Source organism: Homo sapiens, chromosome 9, assembly GCF_000001405.40.
Source record: "Homo sapiens chromosome 9, GRCh38.p14 Primary Assembly".
NCBI classification, from domain to species: Eukaryota; Metazoa; Chordata; class Mammalia; order Primates; family Hominidae; genus Homo; species Homo sapiens.
The window spans coordinates 40,166,493-40,186,359 of NC_000009.12; the positions used below are offsets into that span (position 1 = coordinate 40,166,493).

General features: G+C 40.9%; 1 long non-coding RNA gene across 1 annotated transcript, besides 2 other annotated features; it reads left to right on the top strand.

The window, feature by feature from the left end:
- The first annotated feature begins 913 nt into the window (after positions 1–913).
- Positions 914–2,344, top strand: LOC112268033 (uncharacterized). The gene is made up of 3 exons (XR_002956835.1): positions 914–942; positions 2,162–2,203; positions 2,293–2,344. It is a non-coding gene; the product is annotated as an uncharacterized LOC112268033 (long non-coding RNA).
- Positions 8,523–9,199: an enhancer, noted in NCBI's record as "OCT4-NANOG hESC enhancer chr9:42320033-42320709 (GRCh37/hg19 assembly coordinates)". NCBI's record gives its function as "activates a minimal SCP1, AML or CMV promoter by ChIP-STARR-seq in naive and primed H9 embryonic stem cells {active_cell/tissue: H9 hESC(naive and primed)}" and the evidence as "EXISTENCE:reporter gene assay evidence [ECO:0000049][PMID:30033119]".
- Positions 10,959–11,253: a silencer, noted in NCBI's record as "tiled region #3636; HepG2 Repressive DNase matched - State 12:CtcfO, and K562 Repressive non-DNase unmatched - State 8:EnhW". NCBI's record gives its function as "represses a minimal TATA promoter and a strong SV40 promoter by Sharpr-MPRA in HepG2 and K562 cells {active_cell/tissue: HepG2 | K562}" and the evidence as "EXISTENCE:reporter gene assay evidence [ECO:0000049][PMID:27701403]".

Here is a 19,867-nt window from a genome sequence, read left to right on the forward strand (position 1 = left end):
CGTTTTGTTTTTACAAAAGCCTTAAAGTTTGGTACTAAGGAAATCAAAGAATCAACTACCACCATCATGCTTCAGGGAAAGGGAAAAATGTCTACCTTTGGGTCTAATCTGCCTCCCAGGCGAGCCTACAGGTACTAGAACTCTAACTGCAACTATGATGGCACAGGGAAAATGCATGTATGTAATATGCTTGTCGGCTTCAGCAACAACTCATGTATACATACACATTTACTATATGTAAACAGGTCCCGTATAATACTTAAAACACAAGTGTTTGATCTATAAATATTTGATTCTTAGTATTTAAAATGCTTCTAATGTTTTAAAAGACAAAACTCCACCATGATATCACATTGAACATTAAAATTATTCCCACAGCAACACTTTTTTCAGAGAAACAATTGAGAAGTCAGTTATCTTAGTCACCACTAAAGGCACCTGGTGAGAAAAGCCTGAACTAAATTTTAAATATTAAAAAATTAAAGAGACATCTAGTGCAGAGTTCAAACCTTTATGTTGAATTGTTTAAGAGTCATTACTGATTTCATGACGCTGATAAGTGTTTGAGATGAAATGATTTTTTAAAATGCAGAGAAAATGCTAACAGAATATTATATAGTTCCCCTAAAGATGCTTCTTCTAACCTCCAAGTATTAAATAAGATTGATCTAAATGTTAAGTACATATAAAGTATATATTTGCTAGTCATCTATAAATTTTAAGTACAATTCCAGTGATATACCTGTATCTTTTGGAAGAGAAGAACTAAACCTGCCGTTTCTTAGGCTAAGTAGACAATTCATAAGGTCCTTCCTTCCCCATTTATTCTGATTGCCAAGCTTTTGTTCAGTAAGCTCTTGGCATCTAGTGATTAACCAGTGACAGCAGACAGTAGTGTTCCTTGTGTTCCATATCGTATTTGCCATCCTCAATGTCTTCCAGGTGAGTTTTGCAGTGCAGGACTTTCAGGAAGATTTTATTCCTGTAGGACAAATTAATGATAGAAACACAAACAAGAGTAGGAATGGGGAAGGATTTCAGCCCAGAGGAAGCCTCAGCTCTAAAGAGCAGTAATAATGAGAATTCAATGAGATGGAAAGAACACATTCTTCTGATCCTATGGAACCTCATGCTTTTTATCACCTACATTATAATTTAGTGCCATTTCCCAGTCTCTGCTAAATACCCTGATTACACCAGTAAAAGGAAAATCCCCATTTGTCTAAGATTATCTTGATGCAGTCTATTATCTCCTAAATGAAAATCCTGTCTTTGTGAGGACAGGGATTGCCCTTTTCTTGTTCATCACTATACCTCTATGCCTGATAGAGACCTTGGTACAGAGTAGGTTCTCAATAATCATTTGAATGAAATAAATCCTATGTACCACATAGCAGCTTCTCTGGAAACATCAAAAATCAAAGAACGAATGTCCTGTGAATGCCAGACAATCTGCTTGATTGTACTACAATGCAAAAAACATCTTCTTTGCTCTCCTGCAGCACGTAACTAATTACAATGCAGACCAGTTTGTTAGAAGAAATATAACAGAGGTATAGATAGCAAGCCTTTAAACCACAAAGAAGGAAGTGATTAATTCTGTTTCACCCAATGGAGAGGTGATAATACAGGAAAAAACCTGCCCAAGGATTGAGGCCACTGTGAGCTTGTGAAGAGGCAGAGGCTGGAGGTGCACTTGAGATACTGCTTTCAGGATGCTTGTGCCAAGAACATATGAACCTTAATTTCTGTTACTGGGCCTGTGTCTCCAAGTTATAAAGTTCATATGTAATGACCTTCATGATATGCCTCATTTGGAAGGAACTAGTTATCCCACCCCATAGCCAAGATTCTCATCACAACTATGTGAGGAATATTGTAGACACAAGAGGTGTATAAATAGCATAACCAACAGGACCTCCAGTTCTCAACCAAAGGAAAATGGGAAAATAGAAAATATCCTCCTAACATCATAACATTTAGAGTCCCTTGGTGTGGACCAACTGCCTCTCATTGAACAGTATCATGTACTGGACTCATTCCATAAACTCAGATAGAAAAAGAAGTAGTACAAATTTAACACCAGGTTAATAGTACTTTCTCTTTTGCTGGACAATAGACTATAATTAAAATGCACTTCTTTTTAATCTTTTTTTCTCAGGGATTATTCAGTTTACTCTTTGGATGCCTCTAGGATCTGAAGGTAAGAGCAATGACAGTTTCATGTTTCTAGAAAAGCGTGAAGTGCTTCTGGCATGTTGAAGTTACGATAGCTTCTTTTTAACAATGCAGGTACAGGAAGCTTTGCTGAATAAGTTTTCATTGTCGAGATGGTCTTCACCACACTCAAAGGTAAACCTTTTCTCTGCAGATACTTTTCGTTTTATAACCTCATGTATTCCACTAGCATTCTGAAGTACAGAGTACTAAATTTTTTCTTCAGGATTTTGATTAATTAGGCTAAATATATTGCATCCTCAAACCCATCTCCCTCAACAGCTATATTTGGCATAGATCATTCCATTGTTTTTGCTTCTCAAGTCATTCTGCCTATTAAACAGAGCCATAGAGCTGTCATTGAGATGCTACTCCACATATTTAAATAGGGTTTAAAATAATATATGATATAAACTGAAGGTTGAAATCAAATGTTCAATGAGAAGCAGTCTTCTGGGGGGATTCAAGGCATTAGAGAAAACAAGTTGAAGAATAATAATGGATAAAATTTTCTATAGTTCATTGTGGAACATAACTATTGCCCTTGGATATATCTGACTGCCTTTCACATGTCAGAAAATACTAGAAGCCTAACAAACAATAAAACTTGTATTTGACAGTTATTTTTCTAATACAGATGACAAGATTCCAGTATTTTAATGTGACCTCTGGGAGTGGGACTAGAGATGCCGGCAGTGACCACTAGAGGGTGGAAAATCAATCCTTCTAGGGATGTAAACAGCTTTGGTCCCACAAATTTGCTTTGTGATTTTCCCTTTTTTTCTCTCTTCTAGTCAACATCCCTGGGTTCATCCACACCTGTGTTTTCTATGAGTTCTCCAATATCAAGGAGATTTAACAGTTTGTTTGGTAAAACAGGTGAGTAGTGGCCTCTATGTTCTCCCTGCTTGCCCAGAACACATTTGGTCAAATGGGGAGCCTCAACACCCCTACTCTTTCACCCCAATCATGGCATTTACCTAAAATGTCCTCTTTTGGGGTAGAGGTTAAATAGAGGAACTTACATTTTCACAAATCACCAAAAAGTGGGTACAGAGGGCAGCTGCCTTTGTTGGGAACTTATAATAACTCATAAAGAATAAGATTTGGAGAATCTAGACAATGATTTGGAGAGCTGTCTGTCAAACTATCATCCATCAAAATGAGAACTGTAAATTGCTGGCCTTGTCAAACACAGAGTTCTTCTCAAATTATGTCAAATAAGAGTAGATAGGTGATGTTTCAGGGTTACGGGGCAGCAAAGAATACAGTTAGAAAATCTTACTACAGGATCTCACTATTTAGGTTTGTTTTCCTTTTGTGTTCTTTTTATAAAGTGTGCTTGTGTTACACATGGAAGCACATAGAAGTGTGCATGCATTACATAAGGGATCACCCTAGTTAGCTATTCTATTAGAAATATTCACAGTTAAATTTCTACCTTGGAGATTTGAAATGAATGGAATTAATAACTTTGGGCAACAGATCTCAGCTATTCTAGCAAATTGAAACCCCTGTCCCATGCCACCATCCCTCCCCCACAGGAAAATAAGCCCCAGGATTTCTTCTAGCTTTTTGAAACTCAACAGATCTCACAAATGCAGAGTTGAGAAATGTATCAATGTTCCACATTAAGGCTTTTCATATACAAGCAAATTTTGTGAATGCCTATAACTGTTAAAACTCCAGAGGACTTGGGTTCTTTTCTGCTTCAATTTGATGAATTACCCATGAAACTGGGGGACCTTCACTTCTGATTATGAAAGTCCCAATTGGGCATGTTTGGGGGCCCCATAAGTACCGTAACTTTGGTTTATGTTGTCAGCAGCCCCTAAGATCCCCCCAGGCCATGACGGAAACTTTGTTAGCGGTGGTGGCGGTTCAGCAATTTGATGGTAGGGTGGGCACTTCAACCCTTTTCTTGCCCGACACACACTCTCCACGCACTCCCTGTGCACAGTCCCCACCTCCCCGCAGACACAAGCCTGTGCAGTTGCTCAGAGGCTGCCTTCCTTGCTGCACTGATTCTCAGCAGTTCTGTTGACGTTCCTGACTCCTGCTTCTTTTCTGGTCCTGCCTTTTCTCTCCCTATAATTTTCTCTTTTCTTTCCCTTTACTCTCTTTACAAACCTCCACTTTCAGTAGAGCCTCCAGGTGCCTCCCAAGAGCTTCTGTAAGTCACCACAACCCAAGAGGACCAGGGAGATTCCCTCATGCAGATGTTCCCAGACCATGCACGTGATGGCATATGGAGGGCTTCCCACCTTGACATCTTCCCGTCCTTTGTAGAAACCTGGCTGCTGGTATGATGTGAAGTAGTGACTGCTTGTTGGCTGCCACACATGCATGAGAACGACAACTCTGTTAGTTCTCTGGCATTTCTAGCTCTTGGGAAGAGGGCAGGTATGGGTTGGTTTCCAGGCATGGCCGAGTTTACCTAGTGCCTAGACCACTGCTCCCCTGGGTCCCTTAGGAGATGTTCACACCCCAAAGTTCATGATGGCTTGTCTTCAAGGCTGAGTTGCTGCTCTGTTTTTCAGGAACATATAATGTTTCCACCCCAGAAGCAACCAGCTTATCCCTGGAAAACTCATCCAGTGCTTATTCGTTGCTCAACTAAGAACAGGATAATCCAACATACGTGACCTCCTGGGGACAGTGGATGGATGTGCTTTTAAAAAGAGATCCTTGCAAAGCAATGGAGAATGTGTTCTTGGGGCAGGTTTCCAGGAGCAGATGTCAAAAAGACTTTCATAGAGAAGAGGCTTTCTTTTGTAAAGACAGACTGAAAATAATTGTTATGTTTATGTTTGTTCCCTCCCCCTCCCCCTTGTGTGATACCACATGTGTATAGTATTTAAGTGAAACTCAAGCCCTCGAAGGCCCAACTTCTCTGTCTATGTAATATAGAATTTCAAAGAGACATTTTCACTTCCTACAAATTGGGCACAAAGATAAGCTTTGATTAAAGTAGTAAGTAAAAGACAACCTAGGAAATACTTCAGTGAATTCTAAGAAGGAAGGAAGGAAGAAAGGAAGGAAAGAAGGGAGGGAAACAGGAAGAAAGGGAAAAAGAAGAAAAAGAGAAAGATGAAAATAGGAACAAATATAGACAAACAACATTAAGGGCCACGTTTTAAGATTTCCATGTTAATGATCTAATATAATCACTCAGATAGTGCAACATTGAGAATTTTTTTTTAATGGCTCAAAAATGGAAACTGAAAGTAAGTCATGGGGAATGAATACTTTGGGCAGTGTCTTCCTGATGTCTTCTTAGCTAAGAGGAGAAAAAAAAGGCTGAAAAAATAGGGAGGAAATTCCTTCATCAGAACGACTTCAAGTGGATAATAATATTTATAAGAAATGAATGGAAGGAAACATGATTCTCCTGAGGATAACTTTGTATGTTAAGGTTTGAACTAAGTGAATGTATCTGCAGAGGAAGTATTATAAAGATACGTCATTAGATCCAAGTGCTGATTAAATTTTTATAGTTTATCAGAAAAGCCTTGTATTTTAGTTCGTTCCATATTTTGAAAGCAAAAAATATATATTTTATATACCTTTCAATTGCCAAATTTGATATATCGCACTGAAGACAGACCCTGTCATATATTTAATGGCTTCAAGCAGGTACTTCTCTGTGCATTATAGAATAGATTTTAATAATCTTATAGCATTGTACATTATTATTGCTGTTGTCACTGTTATTGTTACTGTGGATAATGGCCCTTGGTGTGTTGCATAGCTCCCTAGGTATTCTCTGTTTCCATCTTTACTTTCCCAGACCAATATACATTAAGAATTTTGCATGGTCTAACTTGTGTTTATTCCAACCACTTGGAAAGCTCCTGAAAAGAAATTTTACATTTGGCTGTTCTGTGCTCCTAATGACACTTGACCTTGTTGAACAAATGGCAGAGACTTTCCCAAGGATTTGATTGTTTGTGAATTATCTGCATGTGTGCTTTTTTTCGTGTGTATGTATTTCATTAAAAAATATAAATACTTATGAAAATTGCATCCATATTAGAGTTAACCATGTGCTATGGATACAGCAACCCTACATTGCAAATAAAAGTCTGATCCCAAAAGGAGAATAAGACAAAAATAGAGATGTGGGGCTACTTAGGATATGTGGGCTGTGTGGCAACAGAAATGGGCCCAGCCATTAGGAAGATGGGGCAAAAGAGGCTGAGATTCAACAGCCATTTCTTTATTGAGGTTCAAAGGAGTTTTCTTTTAATATTTTAACCCTTTAAAATATCTTCTTTTTATTTTTAATTTTAAATTCTACTTAAATTCTACTTCTGCCTCTCTTTTCTTCATGGGGAAGGAGAGGTATGGGACAGAGGTGGGACAGTTGATGTAAATGAACTCTTTATTTCTACATATTCACAAATGACATAGACATCTACTTCCACATTTGCCTGAGAATTGTCACATCACTGTCCCAAATGAATGGTGCATTACTGAAAGTCCCTAAAGGAAATCATTGTTATGCTATAAATGCATGCCTTGTTCTTCAGGAATGATCAACTTTGGGCAGAGCTTGATACTAAGAAGATGGAGACAGAGGTTGGGTTGGGGGAAATCCCTTGAATTAGAATTAGAATTAGAGAAAGAAGGCCTTTGGCTGATTTGGTTCCTGGAGTTATATCAAGAAGAATCGAGCCAGGCTTGGAACACAATGTTAGCAGGGCTATCTTGACATGATCAATCAAGGAAAGCACACAGTATCAGGAGCAGGATGTGGTTGTCATGTTCAAAAATTCAGTGGGACAAGAAACGCTGAACTTCCACCCACTTCAGCCAGGATCCCTTGGGGAATCACTGTGTTCAACCCTGTGAAGGGAACTTTCATCGTAGCAGGAGCCTGTGGGAGTTACACAGGATGTGGATCTGGCCCACTGCTCCATTCGTTAACTGGGGCATGTTCCCTTATCCCCAACACACACAAATACACACATGCACACATGTGCACATGTGCACATACATGCATGTGTTTCACCCTTTCAAGCCACATACATGCATGTGTTTCACCCTTTCAAGCCACAGCACTGGGTCCAAATTCCAGAAAAGCTATGAAAGCAAATAATTGGAGAAACACTTGCTGGTTTTCTGCCCACTGCAATACAAGTTAGCCCAGCCACTACCCTTTCCCGGGAAAATCCTAAAATGAACAGTAGAATTCAAAATTGTAGAACAGCAGTTATGAAGCTGAGAATTTTATGAATGCAGGAGCCTCATTTGGCCCTGAGGTTGCCATCTCTCAATCAGTAATGATTACAAGGCTATTAGTAGCAGATTCCTGAGAATGAAGGCACATGGAGTTGTGCGATCTACTTTGTTCGTAAGGTGCCCAGTGCTTCCCTGTGTTCCTGACATCTCTCAGTGTATAAAGTCCATTCCCTGAGCCTAAACTTTCTTGCATTAAGAGCTTTCCATTAAGTCAGTTTCTTGCAAAGGGCTTTGTCCTAATGCGTCAGAGTCTGTGAGGTTAGAATATTCACAAATGAGAAGCTAATACAGATTATAGGAATATTCTCTGGGAATATTCTAAGTCCAGACTAACACATCATCTCTTGAGTAAGCCAGATGTCTGCTATCCTCCTCCCCCACTTCTTATTGTTTGCATGGGGAAATGGTTAAATAAATGTCTGTGGGGTTTTCAGGTTTTTGCTAAGGCCAGAAATTAAGAAAGACTGTGGGAAGTCACGGCCTTTTGTGGTTTGTATAGAGAATTTCAAAGAGATCCATGTTGGAATGCTTCAGAGAAAAAAAAAGTTACATGGAGCTGAGAAAGATTACAGTAATTAGTAAGTATAGAAAGGACGTGTGGGTGAGTTATTGAGGTGAATGGAGCAGGAAGTCACAATCATTTGAAGAAAAAAAGAAATAGGTGGTCCTAGAAATGCCAGGTAGGTGGAATGCGTTTATTTTGTGCCATGTGATGGTGAAGTCAAATAAGCCCTCCTCATCCAAAAGAGAAAACCCAGTGACCCAGGCCAGTAAAAGACTGATTTTTTAAGTGTCCAAAATGAAGGTGGAACTTACAGGGAACTTACCTCTTGATAGCGTTTTTAAAAGGGCAACCGGAATAGCATCTCATCATTTCGAGAGGACAGTAGTTTAGCTTTAATATTAGGTTCTGTTGGTTTCTAAAATTATCACTTGGGATTTAAAATCACATCATGTATACCAGCACACAAATATGCTTCCTTTCCATACTATAACAATGAAATATCTAATGAGATCTCGTGAGCTGTCTTATCGGGGGACCTGCCCCGATAATCACATAGGTTCTTTTCTATTTTCCTAAGTGTCGACTGGCTTGAGAAATAAAAGGACAGAGTACAAAAGAGAGAAATTTTAAAGCTGGGCGTCCAGGGGGAGATATCACACATTGGTAGGATCTGTGATGCCCCACAAGCCACAAAAACCAGCAAGTTTTTATTAGGGATTTTCAAAAGGGGAGGGAGTGTGCGAATAGGTGTGGGTGACAGACATCAAGTACTTAACAGGGTAATAGAATATCACAAGGCAAGTGGAGGCAGGGCGAGATCACAGGACCACAGGATGGAGGCGAAATTAAAATTGCTAATGAAGTTTCGGGCACCATTGTCATTGATAACATCTTATCAGGAGGCAGCGTTTTGAGATCAACCGGTCTGACCAAAATTTATTAGGTGGGAATTTCCTCTTCCTAATAAGCCTGGGAGCGCTATGGGAGACTGGAGTTTATTTCACCTCTGCAATCTCGACCATAAGAGACAGGTACGCCCCGGGGGGGCCAGTTCAGAGACCTACCCCTAGGTGCGCATTCTCTTTCTCAGGGACGTTCCGTGCTGAGAAAAAGAATTCAGCAATATTTCTCCCATTTGCTTTTGAAAGAAGAGAAATATGGCTCTGTTCTGCCCGGCTCACCGGCGGTCAGAGTTTAAGGTTCTCTCTCTTATTCCCTGAACAATTGCTGTTATCCTCTTCTTTTTTCAGGGTGCCCACGTTTCGTATTGCTCAGACACACATGCTGTACAATTTGTGTAGTTAACGCAATTATTACAAGGTCCTAGAACGATATACATCCTCCTCAACTGACAGGATTAAGAGATTAAAGTAAAGACAGGAATAGGAAATTACAAGGGTATTGATTGGGGAAGTGATAAGTGTCCATGAAATCTTTACAATTTATGTTTAGAGATTGCAGTAAAGACAGGCATAAGAAATTACAAAAGTATTAATTTGGGGAACTAATAAATGTCCATAAAATCTTCACAATCCACGTTCTTCTGCCATGGCTTCAGCCCGTCCCTCCATTTGGGGTCCCTGACTTCCCGCAACACTGTCTCTGTAGTAATTGTTTGCCTTCTTGCAATGTGGTGCTGCTGCCTCTCAGGCTTCCGCATGTCACCCAGAATGCAGCTCTATTCTCCAAACAGCAAACGATCCTTTCCATCTTCCAGGTATGGGGGAGGCCGGCAGCTCGCCCCTGAGCTCAACTGGCTGGCAGGGCTGATGGCTTCCCTCACACCATCCGCACTCCCAAGCCGTGTGCAAAGATCCAGCACGTTATAGAAGGTTTAAACAAGGGTCCTTGAAGTAAAGTTTTCAGAACCAGTTGTCTGGCGAACAAACAGATGCCTGTTCCAACATTTGTGTGAGGATGGCTTGAAATTTTCATTGACAGCTGAAAATAGAGCCCTCATGTCCTATAGATTAATATAAAGGATGTGAGGGCTCTATTTATCCTCTAGCACATTCTAGACGGAAACCAAGTTTCCCACTGTTAGTGGACAGAAGAAGAAAAGAGGGGAGATGGGCCAACTCCCGAAGTCCGCTCTATGCCAGACACAAGTTCTGATCTCCAAATATCATCTGTATGTGTCTGGGGTGGGCGTGGGGGCCTTGGTCGTGGTGTCCTATGATTCAGACACAACCGTCCTGTCTATTCTTTTTTTTTTTTTTGAGACGGAGTCTCACTCTGTCCCCCAGGCTGGAGTGCAGTGGCGCTATCTCGGCTCACTGCAAGCTCCACCTCCAGGGTTCACGCCATTCTCCTGCCTCAGCCTCCGGAGTAGCTGGGACTACAGGCGCCCGCTACCACGCCCGGCTAATTTTTTTTTTTTTTTTTTTTTTTTTTTTGTATTTTTAGTAGAGACGGGGTTTCACCGTGTTAGCCAGGATGGTCTCGATCTCCTGACCTCATGATCCACCCGCTTCGGCCTCTCAAAGTGCTGGGATTATTCTTAAATGATTTTATACACACCCATTTTCCCCCTTTTACCTGTAAACTTTGAAATGAAGTTGAAAGGCCACCAGTGTCCATGACAGGTCCCTCTGCACACATGGTGGCATGGTTAGGAGATACATGAGCCTGTTCCCACCCCAGGGTTTTTATTCTGTCATGCAGAGCCAAGTGAAGGATGCCGGTGACTATTGAAGCCTAAACAGAACAAACCCAGGAGCCCGGGGGGAAAAATGGCTTTATTCTCAGTATGAAAGGCAAGAGGACCTGATTGGGCAAGTGGTGGGCAGATTGCTGTCACGGCCCACTTCCGATGACATTAAACAACAAAACCCAGGAATGACTTTGGACCCTGCCTTTTTCGGATTTTGATTGGTGCCATCCTGGTTCTTCCATCCTGCCAGCCAGCCGGCACCCCAGCAGTTGTGGGAAAAGGAATTTGACTTTGATTAACTGAGAAAAACTGTGCATGCGTTTTCTGTTTTTTCTGGAACTGTGAGGGTTTTCCTATGCCCCAGGGGCTCCCTCACAGCTGTCCTATCCCAAGCATTCCCGACAGGAATCTCCAGCTGGGTTGGAGTGACAGCTGGCTTCCAGCACCGCAGCTCCGCAACCCCTGCTGGCGTCTCCCGAGGCTCGCGCGCCCCTGGTGGGCGTGAGAAGAGGCGTCCCCGCGGCGGTCCGGCCTCAGGAAGCCCGTGGGAGGCAGAGTCAGTCCCGCGGATGACGCGCCCAGTGGGCTACGTTCAGGAAGTCATTTGATCATATGGGCAGAGCGAAGGTCAAGGCATAGTGGATAACAGAAACCAGAAATGAAAAAAATCTCTTTCACTCCCGCCTCCTAACTTTCATATTATGATCCTTACAGGGGAAAGGGTAGTCAGAAAGCCACGTAGGACTGTGGAGGGAGGGAAATCCCAGTCACGTCGTTTCAGTGTGTGAAAGGCAAAGGAAATTTCGGGCCCCCAATCACTATGCAAAAAGGAAAAAATTAAGATGGAAGCTGAGCCATGCAAGAAACAGCCTTTTCCTTCTATTGCTAAGCAAATAGCTAACAGATGAAAGGCCAGATATCTCCACAGAGAGCTACACTAGGTTCACCTTTTATGTAAAGTACCGATTTACTGAGATGAATACATCACTGACTATTTTCCTACCTGCTCCTTTTCTCCTGCAATGCATGGATTATGCCATGTGACCATACCCTCCCTCTTTCGCCTCCACTTTTCCCCTTTAAATACTGAAACCTTCAAAATATCTTTGCAGAAAGACACAGACCACAGGCTGTCTCTGTGATTGTGTGTTCCATTATTCCAGGCATGTTCTTAACCTTGGTAAAATAAACTTCTAAGTTGATTGAGACCTGTCTCAAAGACTGGTTTACAAGTGTGCATAGCACATCTGCAGGCAGGCATACATTTCTGAGGCATACTCGCTGAGATAGCTCCTTCCTTTCTCTGTCCCCCTCTTACTGACTGAATCTCATTTATGGCACTAACAGCAAAGCTGAAAGCCCCAGAAAAGATCTGGTTCACCCATTCCAGATAGGCTGCTGGAAGGTCGTTTGAGGAAGAAAAATGGGTGCCTTCCATATTTCATGTTAACCCAATACTTTTTCCATCAAGGCAGCTGCAAAAGGATTAACATAGGTGGTCCTATTCCCTTTCCTAATTCATCCATTGAAAGCCACTGCTGGCCTGGAGTTTCATTTTCAATCCATCATGAATCTGCAGATGAATCTGCAGCTATCCCAGGGCAATCTGACAGTCCAGCCAGCAGCTGAGGCTGGATGGCAAGTTCCTATCCTCTGAGCACACATTGCTAACGTGTGATCCGAGAAGACCCAGGAGAAGTCAACAGGGCCAACTGCCGGCAGGGTTGGTCCTTGGTGTAGAGGGACAAGCTGAACTGGCCTTAAGTAATGAGGCAGACAGCTTCCCAGTTTGGGGGGATGTCACGCACCTTGGCCTGTTGCTCCTATACCCTCGGAATAGCTCTCACACCTTCTTCTTCATGTTGGACATTCCTTTTACAAAAACAGAAATCTCAAAGACAGATAAAGTTAAGAAGGTTAATCTCAGGTTAATCTCAAGGAGAGAAAAGGTATGCAAATACACCTCTGGGTGAGAAACACAGTAACTTAAATTTACCCTCGAATGAAAATGGCTGGTAACTATATAACTATATTAACCAACATTTTTTGAGCCCTTTCTGTGTACCTGCTGCTGTTCTAAGATTTTTATGCGTATAATCTCATTTAAACTCTATAGCAAACCAAAAGTAACTAAATATTCTTTTTCTTTGCATTTTTAGAGGAAAAAACTAAGCACAGAGAGGTAAATAACTTGCCCACAGTCACACAGCTGAGGACCAGTAGAATCAGGATCTAAATGCAGTGTCTGACCTAGAACATGGGCATGTATCCACCACCTTATATTGCTTCTCTATGCAACCTGATGCCAGTTACTTGCTTAAAAGTAGGCTTCCGTAGCAGGAAGAGTTTCAAATGCAAAAAATGAGAGGGAGAACAACAGTGACAGAGAGGTTGGAGGAGTTAAGCCTTCTCCAAGCTTCATCTCACTTTATAATTCTACCTTGGGGCAGCCCAGGACATAATGACCAATGTTCTGGGCAAACTTCAGAGTGCGCCTACTTCCTTTTTAAGTCTCTGGTGAAACATCAAAGAATTCCTGCTGTGCTGCTTTATTGAAAGTAGATCTCAACTTAGTTATCTAGTGGACCCCCCAGCTTGAGTCTTCAGTCAAGTGAGCTTCTTGTAAGGTCTCAATCACCAGTGTTGTTTTTATTTTTGTCTCAGATCTATCAAGAATTCTCGGCGTGTTGGATGGCATTTAGACATGTAGGAAGGCAATATGGCTTCCCAGAAATGAAGCGTGATTCTGAGGCTATGTTTAAACATATCAAGTGGAGAATTGGGACATTTGTCCTAATACGTTTAGCTAAGTCATGATTTTCCTTCTGATATGCAGACTGAAACAGCAGCTGATTTGCTACTTGAATGCTTTGCATTCTCTGCTTCATTTTGCATGGACAGGGGTATTGGGCTGTTCTTCAGCATTGATTGACAGCCAGTTTGGCAAATGTGGTATGGTGGTTAACAGCATTGGTTCTAGAGCCAAACTGTGTGCTTTTCAGTTGTAGGTCCACCACTTCTTAGTTTGACTGTTGGTAAAATAACTCTTTCTGCCTCAATTTACACTATGTGAAAGGAAATAATAATGGTACATGCTCCATGGGTTGTTGTAAAATTCTTATAAAGCCTACAAAATCATATCTGGCATGCAATTATTGCTGAATAAAGTTAGCCTTTATTATTTTGCATCTTACTGTGTGTGCATAAAAACTATAGTAGATATATATCATACACACATATATACATCATGCATCATGACTTAGCCAAATTTATTAGAGCAAATGTTTCAATTCTCCTCCTGATATATTTAAACACAGCCTCAGAATTACACTTCATTTCTGAGAAGTCATACTTTCTTCCTATGTGTCTAAATAATATCCAACACTCAGAATTCTTGATAGATCTTGACAGAACTCAGATTTAGATGCCAGTTCTATTCAGAATCAAACTACATATGCCTTTCACATTGTCACTTTTAATTCATGGTTAAGAGCTTTTGAGAGTAACGTCAAAGGTACGTGACATCCTAAATCATAACTTTATCAAGGTTTGAGTTTAAATCGTGCTCATTATGAAGCCAGAATGGGTGAGTAATTCACATAACAAGTGTGTGAGCCTGGTTAACTACCCCATGTCTGCATTTCAAATCAGTTTTGGTAATCTTACATATTACATAATTTTATTTAATCTTCAAACTAATTTCATTATTTCTTTTCTTTACAAATGAGCCAATTATGCACTATAACAGTGGTGTTAATTAAGGCTTTCTCAGTTACAGGTAACAGAACCACAATCAAATTAGTTTAAGCAAAAGTGGGCACTTACCACGTAACTGGGAAAGATAGTAGATTGGTACACCTTCAGGTACAGCTAGATTCAGGTGCCCAAACAGTGTTCTCAGAGTTCTGGCTCTTCCTTTTGTGTTGTTTCCTCTCTTTGTGTATTTATTTCATTCCAAGGTAGATCTTCAAGGAGAGGAATTTATGAGGTCCACAGACCGATAGATTGAGATTTAAAAAGAAGACTAACCCTTTTCTTCTCCAAATGTTCAGGTATATGTGGCAGTACAGGGTATCATGATTGGCTTAGTCTGAGCCATGTGCTGGCCCCATAGAAATAATTATATCCATTAGGATCATGTTTTCTGTGAATGCCAGACATTCAAAATAATAGCGACTTAAAGTAGAAGTTTATTTCTCTAACACAGATAAGCAGCCCAAGACTGGTGTGGCAGCCTGGCTCGGTGCAGTCCTCAGAAATCCAGATACTTTCTATTTTTTTAATCTGCTTTTGCCAAGGTCACCACGTGGCCCCATTTGGCAGCTCTCACTCTGGCCATTACATCCCCTTATCAGTCATTAGGATAGAAGAAGGGACTACAGGTGTGCACCAAGACTCCTTTAGGAAAGGTTCCCAGAAGCTCACATGCAACATTCCTTCTTCCATTCCACTGGCCTGAATTTGATCACACTACCTCACTGTATCAGTCTGCTTTCACGCTGCTATAAAGAACTACCTGAGACTGGGTAATTTATAAAGGAAAGAGGTTTAATTGACTAGCAATTCTGCAAGGCTGGGGAAGCCTCAGGAAACTTACAATCATAGTGGAAAGCAAAGCGGAAGCAAGGCACGTCTTACATGGTAGCAAGACTTGAAAAGTGAGAGAACAAGGAGGTGTGCCACACTTTAAAACCATCAGCTTTCATGAGAACTCACTCACTATCACAAGAACAGCATGGGGGAAGCCACCCCCATGATCCAATAACCTCTCACCAGTTCCCTCCCTCCACACGTGGGGATTACAATTCAAGATGAGATTTGGGTGGGGACACAGAGACAAACCATATCACCCATCTACCTGCAAAGGAAGCAGGAGAAGGTAAACTAGACTCTGAGTAGCCATTTGACCAGTTGGAGTTTGGGGATTCTATTACTGAGAAAAGAAGAATGGATGTTGGTGACCATTTTTGTTGGGGGCTGATATCTGAACATCTCCTCTGCCTCCTGCTCTCTTCTCATACCTTTCTTATGACCCCATTTTTCTATTCTCCTTTTATTCTCTTGACCAGATAGGATCTTTAAATGTTTTTAATGATTTTCATTGAGCTGGTGAGCCACACATGGGTCAATTTGTCCTAAATTTGTCTAGGCCCTGAGGGATGCTGTGACCCAGATGAGGCCCATGTCTCAATCCATTCTGGGATTCCAGGACTAGTCCTTGGTAAAATTGTGGAAGGCAAAGAGAGATGGGTCTTGTCTTTACTCTGATATCACTGTTAGCTGCAACTCTTACACACACACACACACACACACACACACACACACACACATCCTGTTAGGCTGCCTTACCCATATCAAATCTTTCCTATCATATTTTTTCACATCAGTACTCATTAGAGGTCACTGGCACCTGACTCCATTATCTCCCATCCCCCATTCATTAGGGTTTTCAAGAGTCTGCTAAATGACACTCACAGCTACAGGATAACTATAAATCTTTTCAAACTTTTCTTTGCTTAGAGACTTTTGAAAAACATACTTATATTAAAATTGGCATAAGAAAGATGTTTTAGCCATATTTATAAACATATAGAAATTTGAGTAGGTGACAAATCATCCATAAACCTGATATCCCTAATAAGGGAAACCAAGTAAAAAAGACCTTTACATAGTGTTCAATATAGATTTGCCTATATTTTATAGCACCTTCCAAACCTCTAATCTTATTAAGGTTTTCTGTAGTCAAACAAGAATAATAGATTCTGCTATTAAGTGGCTCTGTGACCTGCCTAAGGCACTTAGCCTCTCCAGAATTGCCTCAGTTTACCCAAATACAAGAGGTGGACTTCAGAATCTCTAAAAATTTCATCAAGCCATAAAACAGATGATATAATTCATGAGAAAGGAGGAGCTCAAGAAGGGAAGGTGTGAGATCATCTGTAATTTGCTTGTAAATGTCTCCATATAGGTATTACACTGTATACAGCCTGCAGGGGGACTATAATCCACACCCTGGGGGAGGTTAAATAGTATGCAAAGTATTCTGAAAAGGAATACACACTCCAATAGCAGTTAGTTAGTATTTGAAAGATCCTAATCAAAAGTCTCTACTGGAGAAATATCTGTTGCAAAACTTTAAGTATTTCTATAGCAAGCTATACCAGAGGGTTTGTTATTAGTATAAAGGATGCTTAAAATAATTTTTGCATTGGTTAAATACAATTATCAAGATAGCTATAGGTACAATACTTTGGCAGGCCCAGTGAACTAACTTTTGGGGTAGAACCTTTGACTAGAACTCTATTTGGTCCTAGTTTTCACTCACTTAATACAAGTTTTCATTGGCTCATCCAACTAGAGCAGTGATTCCCAATCAGTAATGATTTTGCCCCTTGGGGGACATTTGTCAATGTCTTAGAGATTTGGGATTGTCACTACTGGGGAAGTGTGCTATGAGCATAAAGTAAGTAGAGGCCAGGGATGCCACTAAACATATCACAATGCAGAGAACAGCCCTCACAGAAAAGAATATCCAGCTCAAAATATCACCAGGGCTGAGGTTCAGAAACCCTAGGGTAGAGAGTTGACTGATCCTGGCCTTCAGATTATTTGAATGCATGTGTGTAGAATGAACCTTTAATCCAAGAGGCTTGGTGGTGGAGCACTTAAAAGGACAGAGCAGAGACTTCCCTACACATACAAAACAGGTTGGATGGCTATTTGTGGGTTTGTTGGTTTATCGGGGGAACCAGACTCCAATATTTCAATGCAAGTTCTTTCTATTTTCCCTAAGTGTTGGCTGGTCTGAGAAATAAAGAGAAAGAGCACAAAGGAGGAATTTTACAGCTGGGCCTCTGGGGGTAACATCACATATTGGGAGGTCCGTTATGTCCCCTGAGCCACAAAACCAGTAAGTTTTTATTAGGATTTTAAAAGCGGAGGGGGTGTACAAACAAAGAGAAGGTCACAAAGATCACATGCTTCAAAGGGCAATAAAGATCACAAGGCAAAGGCAAAATTAGAATTACTGATGAGGATCTATGTCCCACTGTGCACATACTGTCTTAATAAACATCTTAACAGAAAACAGGGTTCGAGAGCAGAGAACCAGTTTGACCAAAATTTACCAGGCTGGAATTTTCCAATCCTAGTAAGCCTGAGGGTACTGCAGGAGACCAGGGAATATTTCAGTCCTCATCTCAACCACATAAGACAGACACTTCCAGAGCGGCCATTTATAGACCTCCCCCCAGGAATGCATTCCTTCCCCAAGGTATTCCTTGCTGGGAAAAGAATTCAGCAATATCTCTCCTACTTGCACATCTGTTTATATGCTCTCTGCAAGAAGAAAAATACAGTTCTATTCTGCCTGACCCTGCAGGCAGTCAGACCTTATGGTTATCTTCCCTTGTTCCCTGAAAATCGCTGTTATTCTGTTCTTTTTCAAGGTGCACTGATTTCACATTGTTCAAACACACATGTTTTACAATCTATTTGTACAATAGTGGTCCTGAGGTGACATACATTCTCAGCTTATGAAGATAACGGGATTAAGAGAGTAAAGACAGACATAAGAAATTATAAGACTATTATTAGGGAAGTGATAAATGTCCATGAAATCTTCACAATTTATGTTCAGAGACTGCAGTAAAGACAGGCATAAGAAATTATAAAAGTAGCAATTTTGGGAACTGATACATGGCCATGAAATCTTCACAACTGATGTTCTTCTGCCGCAGCTCCAGCTGGTCCCTCCGTTCAGAGTCCCTGACTTCCCACAACAATGGTTAACAAATATGAATGTGTAGCAGAATTTAGTTCAAATCTTGATTCATTTTAACATAATCAGAGAGGGGGTTAGAGTTCCCATCCACTTCTAATTATCAGAGGCTCCAGATATTACTGAAAGAACCTGACATTTGTGAATGGCCAGATTGGCTCAGCTCAGTTCACAGAAGGAAAGGATGCAGATGGGGATGTATCAAGGATATGGTGTGGGAAGCATGAGACATTTTCAAAATTTCAAGCCACTATGACTTATTCCCACTATGTAAGATTAAAGAAGTCAGACACTCAGATTCAGGGAGGATTTCCCACATTTTTCATGTTGCTCATCTAAATCCCAAATTCCATACTGCCTAGAGATTATGAAATGCTTAATTTCTACCCACTCCCCATCCTACATGCCCACTTTGCCATCACCATCCCAACACCTCAAAAGAATAAAGTATCTGCTAGTCCTCCTGGAATGATTGAGGGTTTGGGCTCAAAGAAAAGCTGAATACCATGTCAGATTTATGGTGAGCCAGATCATTAATCAACTGAGGTGACCATTAATCACCAAAAGTGATAAAGATAGATAGTAGGCATGGTACTGGTTGAGAATCTAGAGAGAAATAAATATCAAAATGCTTTACCCTCATTCTGGTACCTCCTTATCATTATTTTGACCTAGCAGTTTTAATTTGCAGTACTAGATGAAAATACTAGGTTATCTTTGAAATTTGAGCTTCTGCTTCTTCCAGAGAGAAACTCATATATTTAAGAAATGTTGTCATTGGTTTGGGCTAGGGACCTTTCCATGTGAGACAGACCACAGCATGTTCCTTTTAATAAAACCAAAGGACAATAACAGCAGCAGCAGCAACAAAGCCTAGAGTTCACTTCTGAGGTCAGATACTCAGCAGAGTGTTAAGGGCATAGCTTTCTTTAGGCCTAACTATGAGGTTAGTGGAGGGTTTGCAGGACTGTGAAGCACAGCGAGAAACAAAGCTGGAATCCATTTCCAATCTGGACTTTGGAGATAATACAACTGGGCTGGTGACAGGATAGCTTCCTATCTAGTCTGAACATTGAATAGTAATATTTTCATACATATTAAACTCTAAGATAGGTTCATATTCATTATCCCATTGTATTACTCTGCTACTCTGTAAGTAGTAAAGTCATGTGGAAGGAGATAGTCAGCTATTATTTCCATTTGACAAGTTAGTAAACTAAGATCAAGAGCTTAAATGATTTCTTACTAAAATTACCCAGCCAGCTGGATGGGCAATCCAAGCCTGCAGCCAGGATGCTTGGCTTCCAGACTTGTTTTCTATCCACTAGAGCAGTGGTTCTCAAGGTGTCTGTGAGGTGGGGGTTGTGGGGGAGTCAGTAGCAGTAGCAGCATGGCCTGAGAACTTATTAGATTCTGGCACATTCTTATACCTTGTTAGATCCTGGCACATTTAAGAATGTACATTCTT